The sequence below is a fragment of the Homo sapiens genome, chromosome 9 (genome assembly GCF_000001405.40).
Source record: "Homo sapiens chromosome 9, GRCh38.p14 Primary Assembly".
Lineage (NCBI taxonomy): Eukaryota > Metazoa > Chordata > Mammalia > Primates > Hominidae > Homo > Homo sapiens.
In genome coordinates, this window is record NC_000009.12 from 122,537,095 (window position 1) to 122,561,835 (window position 24,741).

At 37.4% G+C, this 24,741-nt stretch overlaps 3 protein-coding genes across 3 annotated transcripts in view, besides 1 other annotated feature; 2 read left to right on the forward strand and 1 right to left on the reverse strand.

Annotated features, from left to right (window-relative positions):
• The window catches only part of OR1J2 (olfactory receptor family 1 subfamily J member 2), a 132,995-nt gene that overhangs the window by 89,662 nt on the left and 18,592 nt on the right, over positions 1 to 24,741 (forward strand). The gene's annotated exons all lie outside the window — the stretch shown is intronic.
• Positions 311 to 1,510: an enhancer, noted in NCBI's record as "MED14-independent group 3 enhancer chr9:125299684-125300883 (GRCh37/hg19 assembly coordinates)". NCBI's record gives its function as "activates an origin of replication core promoter dependent on BRD2, BRD4, P300/CBP and CDK7 cofactors, and independent of MED14, by STARR-seq in HCT116 cells {active_cell/tissue: HCT116}" and the evidence as "EXISTENCE:reporter gene assay evidence [ECO:0000049][PMID:35650434]".
• The window catches only part of OR1L8 (olfactory receptor family 1 subfamily L member 8), a 37,114-nt gene continuing 21,549 nt past the window's right edge, over positions 9,177 to 24,741 (reverse strand). Inside the window, exon 4 of the mRNA XM_017014285.2 lies at positions 9,177 to 9,435. The gene's annotated coding sequence lies outside the window, so the exon portion shown is untranslated. The remainder of the gene's footprint in view (positions 9,436 to 24,741) is intronic.
• Positions 16,018 to 17,120, forward strand: OR1N2 (olfactory receptor family 1 subfamily N member 2). The gene has a single exon (NM_001004457.2). The coding sequence runs from the start codon at positions 16,118 to 16,120 to the stop codon at positions 17,066 to 17,068; it is 951 nt and encodes a 316-aa protein (NP_001004457.2). The 5' UTR covers positions 16,018 to 16,117; the 3' UTR covers positions 17,069 to 17,120.

Below are 24,741 nucleotides of genomic sequence, written 5' to 3' on the forward strand. Positions count from 1 at the left end.
AAAATCCGAGCTCCCCAAATGCGCAATTTCTGTCCCTTTTAAGGGCTCACAACACTAAACATTTCACATGAAAGGATCGTGATTGATTTAAGCAATCAGGTGGTACGTCACAGGGGCTGCATGCACCGGTGGTCAGAGAGAAACAGAACAGGGCAGGGAGTTTCACAATGTTCTGCTATACAATGTCTGGAATCTATGAATAACATCAGGTTCTAAGTCATGAGTTGATTTTTAACTACTGGGTTTAGGCCAGGCAGGCCCAGGCCTGGTTTCGGGCCTGGTGCCGAGCTGCCTGTCTTTGGGTTAACTTTCTTGCTGTTTTTTCTTAAAACAGGTACTGAGTATAAAACAATATAAAACAATATGAGAGGGTCTCTCTCTTCCCTCACTTCCAGCCTTACTCTTTTGCTTCAGGTTACCTTGGCTATTTGGGCTCTTTTTTGGTTCTATATGAATTTTAGAAGTTTTTTTCTAATTTTGTGAAAAATGATGGTAATTTGATAGGAACTGCATCAAATCTGTAGATTGCTTTGGGCAGTATATTCATTTTAATGTTATTGGTTCTTCCTATCCATGAGCACAGGATGTTTTTCCATTGGTTTGTGTCATTGAAATGGCCTCATTTCCTGGGCTGGCATCTGAAATTCTTGGAATCATGGCTGAGGAAATCAAAGATGCGGACACACCAAGGATAAGGTCAGAGCAGAAGCACAAGGTTAATAGGCAAAAGGAAGAGAACAGCTCTCTGCAGCAGAGAAGGGTCCTGGAAAGGGTTGCCATTTTTACAGTTGAATGCAAAGGCTTTTATAAGAAAGTGATGAGGGCTGGGCATCTCATTTGCATAAGGTGCGAATTTCTGGTAGCTCCACCCTGTCCTCCTAATGTCCATGTGGGCCCTTAGCTTGAGTTACTCCATATTGCTTTGTACCTCTTACTGTGCATGTGTCGGGGGATGGAATTTTCCATTGTGGGCATGTCTATGCAAGTCACCTGTGTAGCCTTTCTTATCTGTGCAGCTGTGGGCATGTCTCAGGCAAGCCCACCCCCAACAGCCCCCCAGTCCCCCTGCCCCTGCCTGGTACAAGTTCCCTTATCTGTGCCTGCAGGCTGTTCTTTAGTTTGAAATAATTCAACCGAGGACCCACCCTGACTGCCTGCCTGACTGGGTTTCTTCCTTTCTTCTCTCTCATCATCTATGATTTCTTTCATAAGTGTTTTGTAGTTGTCCTTATAGAAGTCTTTCACTTCCTTGGTTAAATGTATTTCTAGGTATCTTACTTTGTGTGTGTTTGTGGCTATTGTAAATGGAATTGGGTTCTTGATTTTGTTCTCAGCTACAGTGTTGTTGGTGTATAGAGATGCAACTGATTTTTTGTGCTTTAATTTTGTATCCTGAAACTTTACTGAAGTCGCTTATCAGATCGGTGAGTCTTTTGGAGTAATGTTTAGGTTTTCTAGGTGTAAGATCATGTCATCAGTGAACAGAGATAATATGACTTCTTCCTTTCCAATTTGGATACCTTTTGTTAATTTTTCTTGCCTGATTGCTCTGGCTAGGACTTCTACTACTATGTTGAATAGGAGTGGTGAGAAAAGACATCTTTGTCATATTATGCAGCCATAGAAAAGAATGAAATCATGTCCTTTGCAGCAACATGGATGGATCCTAAGTGACATAATTCAGATACAGAAAATCAAATACCACATATTCTCACTTATAAGTAGGACCTAAACAATGGGTATACATGAGCATAGAGATGGAAATAACAGACACTGGAGACTCCAAAAGCAGGGAGACAAGAGTTGAAAAACTACCTATAGGGTACAATGTTCACTATTTGGATGACCAGTTCACTAGAAGCCCAAAGTTCAACATTGTGCAATATACCCATGTGACAAACCTGCACATGTACCCCCTGAATCTAAAGTTAAAAAAAATACAAAGATAGTACACCTATCTCTCGGTCTCTGTGGGAAGGTAGGGGCCTGACTTTCAAAAGCGTCCCTTTTGTTTTTATTTATTTATCTATTTTTTAATTATACTTTAAGTTTTAGGGTACATGTGCACAATGTGCAGGTTTGTTACATATGTATACATGTGTCATGTTGGTGTACTGCACCCATTAACTCGTCATTTAACATTAGGTATATCTCCTAATGCTATCCTTCCCACCCCCACCCCACAACATGCCCTGGTGTGTGATGTTCCCCTTCCTGTGTCCATGTGTTCTCATTGTTCAATTCCCACCTATGAGTGAGAACATGCGGTGTTTGGTTTTTTGTCCTTGTGATAGTTTGCTGAGAATGATGGTTTCCAGCTTCACCCATGTCCCTACAAAGGACATGAACTCATCATTTTTTATGGCTGCATAGTATTCCATGGTGTATAGGTGCCACATTTTCTTGATCTAGTCTATCATTGTTGGACATTTGGGTTGGTTCCAAGTCTTTGCTATTGTGAATAGTGCCGCAATAAACATACGTGTGCATGTGTCTTTATAGCAGCATGATTTGTAATCCTTTGGGTATATACCCAGTAATGGGATGGCTGGGTCAAATGGTATTTCTAGTTCTAGATCCCTGAGGAATCGCCACACTGACTTCCACAATGGTTGAACTAGTTTACAGTCCCACCAACAGTGTAAGAGTGTTCTTATTTCTCCACATCCTCTCCAGCACCTGTTGTTTCCTGACTTTTTAATGATCGCCATTCTAATTGGTATGAGATGGTATCTCACTGTGGTTTTGATTTGCATTTCTCTGATGGCCAGTGATGATGAGCATTTTTTCATGTGTCTTTTGGCTGCATAAATGTCTTCTTTTGAGAAGTGTCTGTTCATATCCTTCACCCACTTTTTGATGGGGTTGTTTGTTTTTTTCTTGTAAATTTGTTTGAGTTCATTGTAGATTCTGGATATTAGCCCTCTGTCAGATGAGTAGATTGCAAAAATTTTCTCCCATTTTGTAGGTTGCCTGTTCACTCTGATGGTAGTTTCTTTTGCTGTGCAGAAACTCTTTAGTTTAATTAGATCCCATTTGTCAATTTTGGCTTTTGTTGCCATTGCTTTTGGTGTTTTAGACATGAAGTCCTTGCCCATGCCTGTGTCCTGAATGGTATTGCCTAGGTTTTCTTCTGGGGTTTTTATGGTTTTAGGTCTAACATTTAAGTCTTTAATCCTTCTTGAATTAATTTTTGTATAAGGTGTAAGGAAGGGATCCAGTTTCAGCTTTCTACATATGGCTAGCCAGTTTTCCCAGCACCATTTATTAAATAGGGAGTCCTTTCCCCACTTCTTGTTTTTGTCACGTTTGTCAAAGATCAGATAGTTGTAGATATGCGGCATTATTTCTGAGGGCTCTGTTCTGTTCCATTGGTCTATATCTCTGTTTTGGTACCAGTACCATGCTGTTTTGGTTACTGTAGCCTTGTAGTATAGTTTGAAGTCAGGTAGCGTGATGCCTCCAGCTTTGTTCTTTTGGCTTAGGATTGACTTGGCGATGCGGGCTCTTTTTTGGTTCCATATGAACTTTAAAGTAGTTTTTTCCAATTCTGTGCAGAAAGTCACTGGTAGCTTGATGGGGATGGCATTGAATCTATAAATTACCTTGGGCAGTATGGCCATTTTCACGATATTGATTCTTCCTACCCATGAGCATGGAAGGTTCTTCCATTTGTTTGTATCCTCTTTTATTTCCTTGAACAGTGGTTTGTAGCTCTCCTTGAAGAGGTCCTTCACATCCCTTGTAAGTTGGATTCCTAGGTATTTTATTCTCTTTGAAGCAATTGTGAATGGGAGTTCACTCATGATTTGGCTCTCTGTTTGTCTGTTATTGGTGTATAGGAATGCTTGTGATTTTTGCACATTGATTTTGTATCCTGAGACTTTGCTGAAGTTGCCTATGGAAAGCAAACACAGATGGCCTAATCACATTGACCAACCTCCCTGCTAACACCCTCCAGTAGTTTTCTACTAGCTCACCCCAGCTCTTAAAAGTCCTCCTGCCTTTTGATTCAGCAGAGTTGAGTTTACTCTGTCTCCCCTATTACAGTAATCTTGACTCCTACGGAAATCATGTTAAATAAAGTCTTCCTTGCCTGTTCAACTCTGTGCAGGGCAATTTTTCTTTGACAGTTCACTGAGTTAGCAGATGCATGAAAACTAAATCCTAAGCTGGCAGTAGATAAAATAGAGGAAACAATCTGATCAACACCAAAAAATCCTCAAAAGGCCCAGAAACCGGCATCCTTTGGTGCCTCTCGACTTGAGAGTGAAAGGGAAATAAACTAAGAAGAAAGAGATGATAGCTATTTCAGAAGAATTTGGATCCCTAATTTCCCCCTTTTCACTGCACACTGCTCAAATATTGTCCCTCTCCTATCCCAACGGAAGTTGGGAGATTTACTTTCTGAATAAGTTTGGGTCTTGGGGTGGCCATATACAGCTAAGATTAGTGAATCATATCAAAAATAAGAGAATTACATAACAACGTATGCATACCAAATGCTGAATGCTGAAATGCACAGCCCTTTATCTACATTAAGCTGCCAAGCCTCCACCTTAAATACAGAATATTAAAAGAATTTTCTTGGAGTTTGGCTAGCCCAAGAGAAAAGAACTAAAGATACTGACATTGAGGGGTTTCTTCCCCAAATTGTGCTTCCCAGCCAGATCACCCTGTGGTGAAACTCAAAGAAGACAGCTCCATCTACAAGCACAGAGCTTCCCATCAGTTTCCACAAATGTTATTTGGTTACGGCATATATCAGCAAAGTCCATGAATCTGAAGAGCACAGCTCAATAATTTTTTCATATGTATACACCAATGTAAACACCCCACAGATCAATATACATAACACTTCCATAAAGCCAGAACACTCCCTCTTGCCCCTTCTGAGGCACTGTCCTCTCAGAGGTAATTGCTTTGTGATTCATATCACTATAAGATTAGTTTTGTCTGTTTTTGAAGTTCAGGTAAAAGGAATTACACTGCAGAACTCTTGTATTTGGCTTCTTTAGCTCAACATTACATCTGTCAGACTCAATCATGTTTGTTGCATATACCAGAAGTTTGTTCTTTTTATTGCTGTGTAACATTTTATTATACAAATAACCCATAGTTTATTCAATTCTCTGTTGAATAATGGTGGGCAAATGGATTGCTTCCAATATTTTGGCTATTATGAGTAAAGCTGACAGAAATATGCTCAAACATTTTGTGGGACATTTCGCTTAGAGTGTACACCTAGAATAGCAGTAATATTTCTGGGCAATAGGGTAAGTAATATTTAGCTTTAGTAGATGTAGACAAACTGTTTTCCAAAATATTTATATAAATGCATACTCTCATCCAAATCATTGAGAGTTCCAGTTGCCCTGTATTTTCAACAGAACTAGTAGTTTCAGTCTTCTTTCCCAACATTGTATTAGAAAATTTTAAAAATACACAGCAAGGTGAAAGAATTTTACAGTAAACATTCCTATACCGCCCACCTAGATTTAACCTTTAAAACTTTATTATACTTGCTTCCACACATCCATTTATTCATCCTTCATTCTACTTTATTTTAAAATCAACTTTATTGGGGTATTATTTACATAAAATGTACCTATTTTAGGTGCACATTTTAAGAAGTTTTGACAACTTTATATACCTGTGCAAACTACCACAGTCAAGATACGGACTTCACTCCAAGTCCCATGCGGCCAGCCATCTGAATTCTGTCATTGTAGATTAAGTTTGCTTTTCCCAGAGTCAAATTAATAGAATCTTACAGTATGCACACTTATGTCTGGTTTCTTTGGCTCAACAAAGTGTTTGAGATTTATCCACGTTGTGGTGTATGTCAGTAACGTATGTTTTCATTACCCAGTAGTATTCTATTGTATACCACAATTTGTTTATGCCTTTTATAGCTGATGAGCATTTTGGCTGTAACTATTTCTGATCATTATGAATAATTGAGCTATAAATACCTATGTACAAACTTTTGGGTGGACATATTTCATATGATAACTGTATGTTCAGTATTGTAAAAAAATTCATTTTCCAAAGCAGTTGTGCCACTTTACATTTCTACCAGCACTATATGGGGATTCCGTTGCTCATATTTTTGTTATTGTTTAGACAGGGTCTTGTTCTGTCACCCAGGCTGGAGTGCAGTGGTGCAATGATCTCAGCTTACTGCAGCCTCGACCTTCTGGGCTCAAGCAACCTTCCCAATTCAGTCTCCCAAGTAGCTGGGACCATAGGCATGTGCTACCACGCCCAGCTAATTTTTGTATTTTTTGTAGAGATGGGGTTTTGCCATGTTGCCCAGGCTGGTCTTGAACTCCTGTGCTCAAGTGATCTGCCTGTCTCAGCCTCCCAAAGTGCTGAGATTAGAGGCGTGAGCCACTGTGCCTGGCCCAGATGCTCATATTCTTGTTAGCACTTGGTATTGCCAGTCTTTTTATTTTAGGAGGTAAATTGTAATATTACACTGTAGTTTTAATTTGCATTGTTCTGATGACTGATGATGTTGAGTACCTGGAAACTTGCCATTGGAACCCAGTTGTCATGTTGTGAGAAGGCCTAGGCTACAGGGAGAGGCCATGGGAAAGTATTCTAGTTGACTGTCCCAGCTAACTTCCTACCCATAAGGTCTAACACTCAACATCAACAACCAGAGATCTGATTAAACAAGAGAACAGATGGTTCAGTCTCCATCCTCTTAGCCGTCGAGGAGACATCACATGGAGTAGAGATGAGGTATCCAAACCAGTTCTGCCCAAACTGAAAGTGAGTAAAATAAATGCAGTTGTTATTTAAAGCCATTAAGTTTTGGAGTGGTTTGTTACACAACCACAGGTAACTGGTACCGATTTTGGTTATCATAATCATAATTTTCTTTTTTCAACTTTTGTTAGCCTCATAAAATGAGGTGGCAGCTATTTCCTTTTTGTTTACTGTCTGTAGAATTTGTGTAAGATTAAATGGAATCTTTCTACAATGTATGCATAGATCAAAACATTACATTGTAGCTCATAAATATATAAAGTTGTCAATTAAAAATAATGAATAAATTAAAATTTTACTTAGATTAAAATTTTTTTAAATTTAATTTTTTTTAAATGATGAGGGAATTAAACAGTGAAACCATCTAACCTTGAATTTTTCTTTGTGGTTAGTTGTTGATATTGATTTCGTTAATAAATATAGGAATATTCAGCTTTCTGTCTCAAATTACAATATCTGCACTAGGTTTTAAAAGCTCTATTTTTCAAGAATTTTGTTATCAAATTTGTTAGTAAACATATTTTTCAAAATAGCCTCTTTTTTCTTTTTTTTTTTTTTTTTTTTTTGAGATGGAGTTTCACTCTTGTTGCCAAGGCTGGAGTGCAATGGCACAATCTCAGCTCACCGCACCCTCCGCCTCCCAGGTTCAAGTGATTCTTCTGCCTCACCCTCCCTAGTAGCTGGGATTACAGGCATGTGCCACTATGCCTGGCTAATTTTGTATTTTTAGTAAAGACAGGGTTTCTCCATGTTAGTCAGACTGGTCTCGAACTTCTGACCTCAGGGATCTGCCCTCCTCGGCCTCCCAAAGCAAAATATCCTCTTCTTATCCTTGTGATGCCTGTGAAACCTGTATGGACAACCTTGCTTTCTCTTTCTTTTCTCTTGATCCATCTGGCTAGGGGTTAATCAATTTTGTTCATTTTCTTCAAAAGGCCAACTTTGGCTTTGTTACCTTTCTCTAGTGTTTGTTTTTTATTTCATTGTTTTTATTTCTTTCTTTTTACTTTCTTAGGGTTTACTTTGCTTTTTTTCTTCTAGCTTTTAAATTTAGAACATTGTTATTAACTGTAGACCTTTTTTCCTTAATTCAAGCATTTAAAGCAATAAATTTCCCTCTAAGCACAACTTTAGCTGCGTTTCCAACATTTTGGTGTTACATTTTTAATATAATTCATCTCAAAATATTTTCTAATGTCCCTTAAATTTATTCTTTGACTCATAGACTTTCTATTTGTATTGCTTAATTTTCAAATATCTTGATTTTTAAATTTATTGGTGTTATTGATTTATAATTTCATCTTAGTTGGATATAATATTATGTATGATTACAATCCTTTTAATTTATTAACATTTATTTTATGGCCCTCTCTATGGTTTATGTTGGTGAGTTGACCATATGATTTGAAAGAATGTGCATTTTATAAGTGGTTGTTTATGGTATTCCGTAAGTATCAATTAGGTAAAGAAAGTATTATTCAAATATTTTATATATTGATTAATCATTCTATCTACTTGTTCTACCAGCTTTTGGGAAAAAATGTTAAAATATCTAGATATAATTGTGTAATTTCCCATTTCTCCCTTTAATTCTTTTAGTTTTTGATGCATGTGTTTTGAAACTCTTTCATAAGATGCAACCACATTTATTATTGTATCTTCAGGATGAGTCGATCATATTATTATTATGAAACATCTTCCTTTATCTCTGGTAGTACTCTTTGTCTTGAAGTCTATATTGTCTAATTTTAACATAGACACTCCAGCTTTCTTATACTTAGTATTTTTGTGTTATTTCTTACCACTGTGTGAAAAATCACTCTGAAAAACTAATGCTGAACATATGCAGAAACTGGGACCCCAGAATTCTACTTCTATATTCAACCAAAATATGTATGTATACTCTCCAAAGTCATGTACTAGAATGTTTATGTCACTACTATTTGTAAAATACCAGACTGGGAATTATCTAAATACCTATGAATAATATTAATATAATAGATGAATTGTGGTATATTTATCAGTGGAGAATTAGCAGCAAAAGAATGAAAAAAAAACATAGCTCTGTGCTTCCTGCCCTCCTCCCTGTCCTGAGAATTGGGAGTGTCTATTATAGTTATTCCATGTCTATATCACCATTATGTTAGGCACGTGTGTGTTGGGGGGTGGATAAACTTGTCGCTTACATTCTCAGGTCTTCAGATTGAGAGGAACCGTACACAGGGAACTGCATCTGAGAAAACTCATTTTTACCTGGACCTCATTTAGATGATAAGATCGTGGACATTAACATGATGTGGCAAAGGGATGAGATTCTCAGGCTCTTGGGAGGGGCCGAGTCTATTTTGAATGTGGGAGGAAAGTAAATAATTTGTGGCAAGTGTGCAGGCTGTGGCAAATTAAAGACGACCAACAATTTTTTGCCACTCTTCCTATTGAGAGACAGAGCTTAATTTTCTTCCCTTAGTGACTTGTTTGACCAATAGAAGGCAGTGAAAGTGAGATTCTGGGATTTTCATAGGCTAGTTTGGGAAGCTTATGAAGTAAAGCAGCTTCCGCCTTGGTCTCTTAGAACGTTTGCTCGCACGGTGCTTGCTTTCAGAACCTGCTGCCTTGCTGTGAGCTGTCCAAGTGATGACCACCTACAGGTGTTCAGACCTAACAAACAAACGGAGAATGCAGGATTTATTTCAAAAAATGCTACGGATACAACTAGGCTATTTGTTAAAAAAATTAAAAGTAAAAGCAGATCCTCTTCTTTCACTTTACCACAATATAAATGGCAGGTAAATTAGAGATTTAAATGTAGTACTTAGAATTTAGAAGAAATAACTACATGAAATTTTCCTCATTTACGCCTGGAAAGTACTTTTGTGTGTAAGAATAATGGAAGAATAACGCAAAGCAAAATATCTGTCAATTTTGAAAACAAAAATTATTTTAAACCTATTTTTTAATGGACAAATAATAATTGTATGTATTCGGGGGGTACATAGTGATGTTTTGATACATATATAGTGATCAGATCACGGTAATTAGGATATCCATCATCTCGAACATTTATCATTTCTTTCTGTTGGGAATGCTCAGTATCCTCCTTCTAGCTACTTGAAACTATGTAATGTATTATTGTTAACTATAGTCATCCTACAGTGGTATAGAACACTAGAACTTATCCTGCTATTAGCTGTAATCAAAAATAATTTTTTTAAAAAGAATATTAATAAAGAATAAGCAGTGAGCCACATAAAAAAATAATAATTTAAAAAATACATAATGGAATGACTAGTAAAGAAAAAAAGTACCCATAATAAAATACTTTACTTTGTTTTATTGTCTTTGATAACCATTTAAAAAGGCATGAACACCCCAGCGAAAAGGGCAAATATATTAACAGGACATTCTGAGGTTAAAAATCAGATGAAACAACCATTCAGTCTTACTAGTAACAAAGGAAATGCAAGTTTTAAAAACAATTTGATTGTTTTATTTTATTTGTTATATACTGTTTATTTTATTTGTATAAACTTAGAGGATACAAGTGCAGTTTTGTTACCTGTAAATATTGCATGGTGGTGAACTCTGGGCTTTTAGTGTAACTATCACCAGAATATGGTACATTGTACTCATTAAGCAATTTCTCATCCCTCAGCCCCCTCCCACCTTCCCATCCTCCTGAGTCTCCAATGTCTATTATTCCACTTCTATGCCCAACTTGATTTCATTTTTTATGGCTGAGTAGTAGTTCAGTGTGTGTGTGTGTGTGTGTGTGTGTGTGTGTGTGTGTACATACACACTACATTTTCTTTATCCAGTCATTCGTTGATGAACACTTAGTTTGATTCCATATCTTTGCTATTGTGGATAGTGCTACAATAAACATACAGGTGCAGGTATCTTTTTGATATAGCAATTTCTTTTCCTTTGAGTATATACCTAGTAGTGAAATTGCTGGATCAAATGATAGTTCTATTCTCAGTTCTTTGAGAAATCATACTGTTTTCCATAGAGGCTGTATTAATTTACATTCCTACCAACATTGCGTTAAGTATTCAATTTTCTCTGTATCCCCACCAACATCTATTATTTTTTGACTTTTACAATAGCCATTCTGACCGGTGCAAGATGATATCTCATTGTGGTTTTAATTTTCATTTCTCTGATGGTTAGTGATGTTGAGCATTTTCCTCATATGCTTATTAACCATTTGTATGTTTTGTTTTGCTCAAAGCAGAAGTATACAAATTTATTTAATACAAGTTTTACATGATACAGAGCCTTAAGGAAATGAAGATCCAAGGATGCAGTTAGAGTTTGAACACTTACATACTGAATTAAATGAGGAATAGTAAATTGTGAAAATGTGACAAGGCAAAGGGGTTTGGGCTGGGGTAGTTAATTGGGTGGAATTGACTAGAAAGATAAGGATTAGTCTAACAAGGTTTCTTTATATACATTTCCCTTAATCTCAAGTTCTGTCCTTGATAATAAAAATGATAGTTTCCTCTAGTACAGGGAGGAAATTTTCCACAAGGAAATGTCATCTCTTGTTTTTAAGAAACAGAAAACAGGCCAGAGCAATCTTCTTGCACCTGCTGTTTTTCAAGTGCCTTCAACTCAAAATAGTCATTATGCCAAAGTGACTCATTAGGAGATGGTTATATGTTTTCTTTTGAAAAATGTCTGTTCATATCTTTTGTCCAATTTTTTAAAATTTTTATATATATATATTTTTATTATACTTTAAGTTCTAGGGTATGTGTGCACAACGTGCAGGTTTGTTACATATGTATGCATGTCCCATGTTGGTGTGCTGCACCCATTAACCGGTCATTTACATTAGGTATATCTCCTAATGCTATCCCTCCCCCCTCCCCTCTACCCCCACCCCACAACAGGCCCCGGTGTGTGATGTTCCCCTTCCTGTGTGTTTTGTTGTTGTTGTTGTTGTTGTTGTTGTTGAGCTGTTTGACTTCCTTGTAGATTCTGAACATTAGTCTTCTGTCAGATGCATAGTTGGCAAATATTTTCTCCCATTCTTCAGGTGGTTTGTTTACTCTGTTGATTATTTCTTTTGCTGTGCAGAAGCTTTTTGGTTTAATTTAGTTCCATTTGTCTATTTCTGTCTTTGTTGCCTGTGCTTTTGAGGTGTTAGTCATGAATTATTTGCTTAGATCAATGTTGATATGATTTGGATGTTTGCCCTCTCCAAACCTCATGTTGAAGTGAGATCCCCAATGTTGGATGTGGGGCCTAGTGAGAGATGTTTGGGTCATGAGGGCGGATCCCTCATGAATGGCTTGGTGCTCTCCCCGCAGTAATGAGTCCATGTGAAAGCTGGTTGTTTAAGACAGCATGGCATCCCTCTTGTTACCTCTCTTGCCATATGATATGCTGGCTCCCCTTCACCTTCCACCATGATTGGAAGCTTCTTGAGGCCTCACCAGAAGCAGATGCTGGCACTATCCTTTGTGTACAGCCTGCAGAACCATGGGCCAAATAAACCTCTTTTCCTTATAAATTACCCACCCTCAGATTTTCCTTTGTAGCAATGCAAATGGACTCACACAAATGTCTAGGGGAGTTTTTCCTCAGTTTTCTTCTAGGATTTGTATAGTTTCAGGTCTTACAGTTAAGTCTTTAATCCATCTTGAGTTAATTTTTGTATATGGTGAGAAATATGGGTCCAGTTTCATTTTTCCGCATATAGCAATCCAATTTTCCTAGAACTGTTTGTTGAATAGGGTGTCTTTTCCCCAGTGTATGTTTTTGTTAACTTTGTCAAATATCAGTTGGCTGTAAGTATGTGGCTTTATTTCCAGGTTCTCTATTCTTTCCATTGATCTATGTGTCTGTTTTTATACTAGTACCATGTTGTTTTGGTTACTATAACTTTTTAGTATAATTTGAAGTCAGGTGATGTAATGCCTTCAGCTTTGTTCTTTTTGCTTAGGATTTCTTTGGCTATTTGTGATCTTTTTTGGTTCCATATGAATTTTAGGATTTTTTTCTAATTCTATGAAAAATGGTGTTGGTATTTTGATAGGAATTGCATTGAATCTATAGATTGCTTTGGGCAGCATGGTAATTTTAACAATATTGATTCTTCCAATCCATGATCATGGGATGTTTTTCCATTTATTCGTGTCATCTAAAATTTCTTTCTTCAGTGTTTTGTAGTTTTTCTTGTAGACATTTTTTACCTCCTTGGTTACATATAATCCTAGGTATCATCAGAGACTACTATAAACAACTATGAATTCACAAATGAGAAAACCTTGAGGAAATGGATAAATTCTTGAAATATAAAATCTCCGAAGATTGTGCCAGGAACAAGTAGAAATGCTAAATAAACCAATACTGAGTAGTGAGATTGAATCATACAATCTCCCAACAACAACAACAAAAAGCCCAGGATCAGTTTAATTCACAGCTGAATTTCACCAAACATACAAAGAACTGGTACCAGTCTTCCTGAAACTCTTCCAAAAAATCAATGAGGAAAGAATCCTCCCTAATTCATTCTACAAAGCAGGTATCACCTGGATATCAAAGCTAGATAAGGACACACAAAAAAGAAAACTACAGACCAATATTTGTGGTGACAATAGATGCAAAAATTCTCCATAAAATACTAGCAAACTGAATCCAACAGCACATCAAAAAGATAATACACCATGATCAAGTGGGTTTTTTTTTTGAGGAATACAAGGATAGTGAAATATATACAAATCAATAAATGTGATTCACCACATAAACAGAATTTAAAATAAAAACCTTATAATCATCTCAATAGATATAGAAAAAGCAACTGATAAAATTCCATATCCCTTCATGATAAAAATGCTCAACAAACTAGGCCTAGAAGGAATATACCTAAATATAATAAAAGCCATATGTGACAAACCCATAGCCAGCATAATACTGAATGGGGGAAAGCTGAACGCATTCCCCCTAAGAACTAGAGAAAGACGAAGATGACCACTTTCATCACTCCTATTCAACATGATACTGGAAGTCTTAACTGGAAGTCCTTAACCAGAACAATCAGGGAAAAAAAAAAAAGACATCCAAATTGGAAAAAGGAAGTCAAAGTATCTTTGTTTGCTGATGATATGATCTAATACCTAGAATACCTTAAAGATTCCTCCAGAAGACTCCTAGATTTGATAAATGAATTGAGTAAAGTTTCATGATGCAAAATTAATGTACAAAAATCAGTAGCATTTCTACACACTAATAACAATCAAGCTGAGAACCAAATCAAGACCTCAATCCCATTTACAATAGCTACAAAAAGTTGGATTATTTTAGACCTATGAAATTGCTTATGATTGAAACCAACAATGATACTAGAACAAAGCATAGTGGATAATAGCATGTACTCCAGAGTCATTACAGACCTAGGTGGGGATTCCACTCTCTCCACTTAATAGAATTAATTAAAATACAGTAGATATAAGTAGCTTTTTTTGAGCAGCTGCTTTGTATGAGGCACTATGGCTGGTGTGCTTTATTTAGGTTGCCTCATTAATTGAGTTTTGGAGTTTTTGAGGGTATTGTTTCCATCAGGATTATTCTCTTTAAGGAAATCGCCAGCAGAAATAGTTGTGTTTTAGTTTATACTCCTGATTTCTTCTTCAATGCAGTTTTACCTAGGACATGGGACAAGTGCTGACTTGCCTAATGCATATAGGCAGGAGTTCCCAGGTGACCTGCTAGTCAGGCTGAAGTACACTGCATTGCCAGCAAGAGGCTTCAGAATCACATTCCCGAGACCCACATTTGAGATCTTAACCCCTGGGAAAGAGAGGTCCTCAGCTCCCCTAGGATCCAGCCAGAGTTGGCTGGAGAACAGGCTGCACAATGACACCGAGGTCGACCTTAACGAGCACATTGGGAGATGGTGTTCTAGGAGCCTTTATAACCTTAAGAGATATTCCTGTCTTCTTATGCCCGGGGAAGCTGAAATCGAGCCATACACTTCAGGTATTTCTAATAAACTCTGGACTCAATAGACCCCGACTTTATTGCCTCTGAGTCAGAAAGGTCTCAGAGTTTTTTATTATGAATTATCCATCCAAGGAAGAGAATTGGAGAATTTGAAGATGCCTAAAACTGATCCATAATCTGACAGGTGAGGATTTGGAAGGGGTAGGACACATACACACACACACACACATACACTCTCTCTCTCTCTCTCTCTCTCACACACACACACATATACACCTTCCTTCCCAGTTCGATGATCAGGTGACCAGGCAAAAGTTTCCTGGGAAAGTGCTGAGTCTCTGCCTAAGGTCAGAAGCTTCTCTATGAACCAAAGAACAAATGGAGGACTAAAATAGTTACAAAAGCTTCTAAGGCCAAACTTCTACAAGATCAATATGAAATGGTTTCTCCTACCAGCTCACTAGGGCAGCAAAAAAACAGACTGGTTATTTTCAAACCAAAAAGTCAGGGCGATACCTTTCACCTTCCCTCCCTCTGGTTAAAAGTAAATATTAGATAAATGTAGTACAAATGTAGGGGTGAAGGCACAGGTGAACTAAAATATCAGTTCCCAGAGCAGATAGAGATGCATAGCAGCAAAAAAGGGAAGAGGACAGGGATAAAGGAGAGGAAGTGATGGAAGGGAGAGAGTGGCTCCCTGTCCTATTTGTATGCGTGTGTGTGGGAGGGAACATCCTAACAGTGGATGGGGGAGTACGACACCAGACACCTACTGCCCTCAGCTCACATATCCTTTGCCGCTAGTTAGGAAAGAGTACAGGACTGGTTTGAATGGGTGAGGTCAAATTCTCAGCACTGAAAGGCAAGTGGGGAGGAAGCTATCTTGTCTTAAAAGTCAATTTCAGCCCCCACAAAGAGGGCTTGAGTGTGTGTGTGTGTGTGTGTGTGTGTGTGTGTGTGTGTGTGTGTGTGTTGGAGGAGGGGTAGGAGTTTGATGGAGATCATGCATCTTCTTTCCAATTGACAATAACAAATGGCTTTTCTAATCTTGCCATCAAGCTATTCTCAATTCTCACTTCCTCTAAATAGCCCATGCCAATTTCTCTGGTCAAACAAATCTCTTTTCTTTGGATTCTGCTATAGCATACAAAGCACAATTGAGATTTGAATGGATATTATCTTAACTGTTCTCTAAATGTCTCTTGGGTATTTCCTTGCATTCCCAGTGAGATTCAGAGATTCTTATTGGCAAAGACCATTTATTTTTCTTTTCTTTTTCTCCCAGCACAGTTCTGGCCACACAGATGCATATCTGTAAATTGATCTAATAAATAAATACTGACACATGGAAGGTTTTTATCTGCGCAGATCACACGAACTACAAGGGATGGGAAAACCAGGCAGAGTGAACCAAACCACTGTTTCAGACTTCCTCCTTCTAGGACTCTCTGAGTGGCCAGAGGAGCAGCCTCTTCTGTTTGGCATCTTCCTTGGCATGTACCTGGTCACCATGGTGGGGAACCTGCTCATTATCCTGGCCATCAGCTCTGACCCACACCTCCATACTCCCATGTACTTCTTTCTGGCCAACCTGTCATTAACTGATGCCTGTTTCACTTCTGCCTCCATCCCCAAAATGCTGGCCAACATTCATACCCAGAGTCAGATCATCTCGTATTCTGGGTGTCTTGCACAGCTATATTTCCTCCTTATGTTTGGTGGCCTTGACAACTGCCTGCTGGCTGTGATGGCATATGACCGCTATGTGGCCATCTGCCAACCACTCCATTACAGCACATCTATGAGTCCCCAGCTCTGTGCACTAATGCTGGGTGTGTGCTGGGTGCTAACCAACTGTCCTGCCCTGATGCACACACTGTTGCTGACCCGCGTGGCTTTCTGTGCCCAGAAAGCCATCCCTCATTTCTATTGTGATCCTAGTGCTCTCCTGAAGCTTGCCTGCTCAGATACCCATGTAAACGAGCTGATGATCATCACCATGGGCTTGCTGTTCCTCACTGTTCCCCTCCTGCTGATCGTCTTCTCCTATGTCCGCATTTTCTGGGCTGTGTTTGTCATCTCATCTCCTGGAGGGAGATGGAAGGCCTTCTCTACCTGTGGTTCTCATCTCACGGTGGTTCTGCTCTTCTATGGGTCTCTTATGGGTGTGTATTTACTTCCTCCATCAACTTACTCTACAGAGAGGGAAAGTAGGGCTGCTGTTCTCTATATGGTGATTATTCCCACGCTAAACCCATTCATTTATAGCTTGAGGAACAGAGACATGAAGGAGGCTTTGGGTAAACTTTTTGTCAGTGGAAAAACATTCTTTTTATGATTAGACATCTAGACGGTGATGTCTAATCTTGATCAACCCCTCCCTGTCTTCCATCACTTCAGTAATTCTACTACTGTCATGTTGATATTAGGGGAAGGTTATCCGTTGACTCTGAGTTAGGGATGTAAAAAAAAAAAAAAGAGTGTTTCATTCTTTTATTAGGCTGTGGAATGAGATGTTCTGTCTCAGCCTCTTTCCTGACCCCAGTGAGGCAACCATTACTAACAGCAAAACTACTATTCCTCCTCACATCTCTAAAACCAGCATATTAGCCATAGTGAACAAGGCATTTGTTATGAGGCTCTGGAGCTGAGCAATTCTACCCCAGCAAGGCAGGCATGGGATGAGGTGAAGGAAGGAGAATAGAAACATTTATTGACTATCCACAATGTTCCTCATTATTCCTTACATCAGTTACTTTAGGTAGAATTGTGAAAACTGTGAATTAGGATGCTAAATAACTTAACAAGTCAATTTATGCCTATCGACTCCCTTTCTATTTTACCACTTTGTGAGGATCATGACAAGGAAGGTGTGAGTGTACATCTAAGGTTAATATTGAATGATAACAATAGGAGAAAAAGAATTAATATATGTTATGGTATTCCTTACTATTTCATTTCTTTAACTTAAAAGCACTCTTCTGTTGTAGTAAATAGATTAAAAGTAATCAATATTTGTTGTACACCTACTAGTGCCAGATTTGTACTAACTACACCATCCGTTCTCTGAATTCTTTCATAAAATATTCTAGAATCAAAAATGATAAATCAAGCATGCTGGAAATTTTTAGGGCAATAATTTGATGCAAAGCAATCTGGTGGAAACTGATATTATGAGAAGTCACAAAGCTTAACAATGGTTTTCTTTTTGCAATGAAATTCTAGGTTATCAATTTCTTCTTTATAGCTACATGTTTTGAAACATGTAGATATTTTTCAAAAAAGGAAATGAAATTTGAGGGTTGGCACAAAAAAATGTTGCAGTGATAACTCACAGAGAAAAAGAAGCACTGAAACAGATCTCTGAGATCAAGTTCATCCGGGGCCAAATTTTTTAATAAAGGAAGGTATGCCCTTTTGGTGTTGTACAATAAATATTGCTTAAGGATCTTCCTTTAAGGAAGATCAGGCACTAGCATGCATTGCTCTTTGGTCATTCTACCTCTCTCCTTCTGTCCCTTCTCTTTGGATAGAAGAGAGGAATAATGAGACAACTAAGGAAACCAGACAAGACCATCTTAGCCTTGAATTAGGTGACTTGGCCCTGACCATAGCAATCTGCGGCTGCAATTTCTAGTGCCAAGGCAAAGGTTGGGAAAGGCAAGTTTTGTGTTTGTGAATAATATCTCTCCTCTTTGGGAACTAATTTCTGACCTCTAAGATCCCCACCTTTGCCCTCCAGTCACCCAGCTACACCATGCCATTTACAGTCTATTTATATATAAAGATATCTACCTCAAGGAATTGGCTCATGCAGTTGTAGAGGGTAGCAAGTTTGAAATTTGTAGGGCAGGCTGGAAACTCAGGCAGGCATGAACATTGCAATCTTTTTTAAATATATAGACTTTACTCTTTTAGAGCTGTTTTTGGTTTATAGAAAAATTGAGCAGAAAGTTCCCATATACTTTATGCCCCAACACACGCACAATCTCCCGAACTAATCCTCACCAGAGTGGTACATTTATTACAATCCATTAGCCTCCACTGACACATCATCACCCAAAGTCTATAGTTTACATTGGAGTTCATTCTTGGTGTTGTGCATTCTGTGGGTTTTGACAAATGCTTAATAGCATGTATTCATCATTATAGTATCATACAGAATAGTTTCACTGCCCTACAAATCCTCTGTGCTTCATCTAGTTATTCCCCTCTCCCCATAACCCTGTGGTAACCACTGATCTTTTTACTGTCTCCATAGTTTTACCTTTTCCCAGAATGTTATGTAGTTGGAATCATACAGTATATTGCCTTTTCAGATTGGCTTCTTTCACTTAGAGTGTGTTTAAGATTTCTCCATGTCTTTTCATAGCTTGATAGTTCATTTCTTTCTGAGACTGAGTAATATTTCATTGTATGCAATATTCAGGGAAAGGTGTAATGTCTGTGTCTAGATTCTTTTTTTTTTTTCATGTGGATGTCTAGTTGTTTCAGCACTATTTGTTGAAGAGACTGTTTTCTCCATTGCATTGTCTTTCATCCTTTGTCAAAAATCAGTTGACTCTACTTATGTGGGTCTATTTCTGGGCTCTTTATTCTGTTATATTGATCTATTTTTCTGTTCTTTTGTCAATGCCACACTATCTTAATTACTGCAGGCTTACAGTAAGTAGTGTCCACCGGGGCCTGTTGGGGGTTAGGGGACAAGGGGAGGGAGAGCATTAGGACAAATAACTAATGCATGCGGGGCTTAAAGCCTAGATGACAGGTTGAAAGGTGCAGCAAACCACCATGGCACATGTATACCTATGTAACAAACCTACACATTCTGCACATGTATCCCAGAACTTAAATTTAAAAGAAAAAAAAAGTAAGTAGTGTCAGTCCTCCAAACTTGTTCTTCCATAATGTGTTAGCTATTCTGAGTCTTTTGCCTCTCTGCATTTTGTTGATATCCACAAAGTAACTTGCTGGGGTTTTGATTGAGGCTATGTTGAATCTATTAATCAAGTTGGGAAGAATGACACCATGATAACATTGAGTTTTCCTATACATGAACATGGAATATCTCTTCATTTATTTAGTTCTTATTTGATTTCTCCTATCAGTTCTGCAGTTTTTCTCATATTAATCTTGTATATAGATTTATATCTAACAAATTGGGGGCTGCTAGTGTAAATGGTGTTGTGTTTTTAATTTCAAATTCCATTTGTTCATTGCTGCTATGTAAGAGAGCAACTGGCTTTTGTATATTAACCCTGTATCCCGAAACCTTGCTATAATTCTTTTAGTTCCAGAAGAGATTTTTGGATATTTTGGATTTTCTGTAAAAATCATGTCATCTGAAAATAAAGACAGTTTTATTTATTCCTTCTGAATCTGTATACTTTTCATTTTCTTGTCTTATGCATTACTAGGACTTTCAGTATGATATTCAAAAGCAGTAATGAGGGGGGACATTTTTTTGCCTTGTTCCTGATCTTAGTGCAGAGCTTTTAGTTTCTCATCATTAAGTATGATATTAACTGTAGTTTTTAAAATAGATATCCTTTATCTCTCTATTCCTAGTTTTCTCAGAGTTTTTAATCATAAATGAGTGTTGGATTTTTGTGAAGTGCTTTTTCTGCATCTATTTATATTATTATGTAGTTGTTCTTTAGTCTATTGATGTGATCAACTAAATTAATTGATTTTTAAGTGTTAGAGTAGCCCTGCATTCCTGAGATAAATCCCACTTGGATATGGTGTATAATTCTTTTTGTACATTCTTGGATTCTATTTGCTAAGTACTTTATTAAGGATTTTTACATCCATATTCATGAGAGATATTGGTATGTAGTTTTCTTTTCTTGTAATTACCTTATCTACTTTTGGTATTAGAGTATTGCTGGCCTCATAGAATGAGCTAAAAGTTCTTTCTTACTCTATTTCCATCTTCTAGAAGAGATTGCAGAGAATTGGCATACATTCTTCCTTAAATGTTTGATACAATTCACCAGTGATCCCATCTAGGCCTGGTACTTTCTGTTTGGGAAAGTTATTAACTATTGAGTTAATTTCTTTAATAGAAATAGGCCTGTTAATGTTCATTTCTTCTTGTATGGGTTTTAGTGGATTGTGGCTTTCCAAGAATTGGTCCATTTCATTTAAGTTATCATGTTTGTGGGCACAGATTTGTTCATGGTATTCCTTTATTATCCTTTCAATGTTCATGGGATTTGTAGTGATTTTTTTATTCATTTCTGATATTAGTAACTTGTGTCTTCTTTCTTTTATTTTCCTTAGTTAGACTTATTAATGGTATATCAATTTTATTGATCTTTTCAAAGAACTAGCTTTTGGTTTTGTTGATTTTCTTTAATAATGTCCTATTGTCCTATTTTCAATTTCATTGATTTCTGTTTTAATTTTTATTGTTTTTTTCTTGTGCTTACTTTGGATTTAGTTTCCTAGTGGGGAAGCTTAGATTATTTATTTTGGATTTTGCTTTTTTTTTTTTTTTTTTTTTTTTTTTGCAAAAGAAGGTTAAATTCAACTGGTGTTTTATCTCTCACCTTTTGGATAGTTTGAGGGTATTTACTTCTCTGTAAACCATAGCTCAGTTCCTTTTTTGTTTGTTTGTTTAAAGGTTTGACAAATGCTTTCTGGGCTAAAGTGGCTTTGAGTGCTGAACCTGTCTATTTGACTTCATACTTTCTGCAGTTAGAACTTTTCTAAGTAATTTCTTATTATTTTATGTTTGTGATGCCTTCAAGAACATATTTAAAATATTTCATCTGAGTTTTATTAGTTTTCCCATTGGGAAGGTTGGTCCAAATTATTAGGTTTGCCATTACCAAAAACTTTATAATAGATGGATATATGTATAAATACACTCTAAGAATCCCTGGGCTTTTTTCATACAAATTTGTCCTTTAAGATTCATGTAATTATTAATATATTTGTAGTTGATTTTGATATTCCATTTCCTTTTTCTTTGTTCCTATATATCATGCTTTTAAAATTATTTCTTTTAATTTTCTCTTCTTGTCTTTGTTTCATTCTTTCCCTTATAATGTGGAAGTTTCATATCTTTTTAAAATTTTTATTTTATCCTTAATTGACACAATGATTATACATATTTATAAGGTACAGGGTGATATTTCGATACCTGTATACATTGTGTAATAATCAAACTAGGATAATTCACATATCCGTCATCTCAACATCTGTCATTTCTTTGAGGTGAGAACATTCACAATCCTCTCTTCTGGCTATGTTGAAATTACAATACATTATTGTTAACTATATTCATGCTTTTGTACAATAGAACACCAGAGCTTGTTAATCCTGTCTAAGTATAACATAGATCTGTTGACTAACCTATCCCTGTTCCCCACTCCTCCTAAATCTTCAGCTTGTAGTAACCACTATTTTACTCTCTACTTCTATGAAATCAACTTTTTTTGTTGTTGTTTTTTCTATATGTAATATTTATTTTTATTTTTTTTTATTTTACTTTAAGTTCTAGGATACATGTGCAGAATGTGCAGGTTTGTTACACAGGTATATGTGTGCCATAGTGGTTTGTTGCAACTATCAACTGGTCATCTAGAGTGTCAATTTTAGATCTTTCCTGCTTTCTCTTGTGGGCATTTAGTGCTATAAATTTCCCTCTTAACACTGCTTTAGCTGTGTCCCAGAGATTCTGGTACGTTGTCTCTTTGTTTTAATTGAATACAAAGAACTTCTTGATTTCTGCCTTAATTGCATTATTTACCCAGTAGTCATTCAGGAGTAGGTTGTTCAGTTTCCATGTAGTTGTGTGTTTTTGAATGTTTTTTAATCTTGAGTTCTAATTTGATTTCACTGTGGTCTGAGAGACTGTTTGTTATTTTTCAGTTCTTTTGCATTTGCTGGGGAGTTTTTTGCTTCCAGTGATGTGGTCAATTTTAGAATAAGTGCCATGTGGCACTGAGAAGAATGTATATTCTGTTGATTTGGGGTGGAGAGTTCTGAGTTCTGTCGACGTTTATTAGGTCTACTTGATCCAGAGCTGAGTTCAAGTCCTGAATATCCTTGTTAATTTTCTGTCTCATTGATCAGTCTAATATTGACAGTGGGGTGTTAAAGTCTCCCACTATTATTGTGTAGGTGTCTAAGTCTCTTTGTAGGTCTCTAAGAACTTGCTTTATGAGTCTGGTGCTCCTGTATTGGGTGCAAATATATTTAAGATAGTTAGCTCTTCCTGTTGCATTGTTCCTTTTACCATTATATAATGCCCTTGTTTGTCTTTTTTTATTTTTGTTGGTTTAAAATCTGTTTTGTCAGAGACTAGGATCACAACCCCTCTTTTTTTTTGCTTTCCATTTGCTTGGTAAATTTTCTCCTGTCCTTTTATTTTGAGCCTATTTGTTTCTTTGCACGTGAGATGGATCTCCTGAATATAGCACACCAATAGGTCTTGACTCTTTATCCAGTTTGCCAGTCTGTGTCTTTTAATCGCAGCATTTAGCCCGTTTACATTTAAGGTTAATATTGCTATGTGTGAATTTGATCCTGTCATCATGATGCTAGCTGGTTATTTTGCACACTAATTGATGCAATTTCTTCATAGTATCGTTGGTCTTTATATTTTGGTGTTTTTGCAGTGGCTGGTACCGGTGTTTCCTTTCCATATTTAGTGCTTCCTTCAGGAGCTCTTGCAAGGCAGGCCTGGTGGTGACAAAATCCCTCAGCATTTGTTTGTCTGGAAAGGATTTTATTTCTCATTTACTTATGAAGCTTAGTTTGGCTGGATATGAAATTCTGCGTTGAAAATTCTTCTCTTTAAGAATGTTGAATATTGACCCCCACTCTCTTCTGGCATGTAGGGTTTCTGCTGAGAGATCCTCTCTTAGTCTGATGGGTTTCCCTTTGTAGGTGACCAAGCCTTTCTGTCTGGCTGCCCTTAACATTTTTTCCTTCATTTCGACCTTGGAGAATTTGATGATTATGTGTCTTGGGGTTGATCTTCTCATGGAGTATCTTAGTGGAGTTCTCTGTATTTCCTGAATTTGAATGTTGGTCTGTCTTGCTAGGTTGGGGAATTCTCCTAGATAATATCCTGAAGTGTGTTTTCCATCTTGGTTCCATTCTTCCCATCTCTTTCAGGTACTCCAATCAATCATAGGTTCTGCCTTTTTACATAGTCCCATATTTCTCAGAGGTTTTGCTCATCCCTTTTCATTCTTTTTCCTTTAATCTTGTCTGCCTGCCTTATTTCAGCATGATGGTCTTCAAACTCTGATATTCTTTCTTCTGTTTGATCGATTTAGCTATTGATACTTGCGTATGCTTCATGAAGTTCTTGTGCTGTGTTTTTCAGCTCCATCACATCATTTATGTTCCATTCCATCATTTATGTTCCTGATTGTTCTAGTTAGCAGCTCATGTAAGCCTTTATCAAGGTCCTTAGCTTCTTTGCATTGGGTTAGAACATGCCCCTTTAGCTCAGCAGAGTTTGTTATTACCCACCTTCTGAAGCCTGCCTCTGTCAGTTCATCTATTTCATCCTCCATCCAGTTCACGCCCTTGCTGGAGAGGTGTTGTGATCATTTGGAGGAGAAAAGGCACTCTGGCCTTTTGGATTTTCAGCGTTTTTTCGTTGATTCTTTCTCATCTTCATGAGTTTGTCTAGTTTCCATCTTTGAGGCTGCTGACCCTTGGATGAGGTTTTTGTGGGGACGTTTTTTGTTCATGCTGTTGTTGTTTTCTGTTTGTTTTTCTTTCAGTGGTCAGGTCCCTCTTCTGTAGGGCTGCTGTGGTTTGCTGGGGGTTCATTTCAGGCCTTATTCATCTGGTTCACTCCTGCACCTGGAGATGTCACTGGGGGAAGCTGGAGAACAGTAAAGATGGGTGCCTGCTCCTTCCATTGGTATCGCTGACCTTGAGGGGCACCGACCTAATGCCAGCAGGAATGCTTCTGTATAAAATGTCTGACAACCCCTGTTGCAGGGTCTCACCCAGTTGGTGGCACTGGGAGCAGGACCC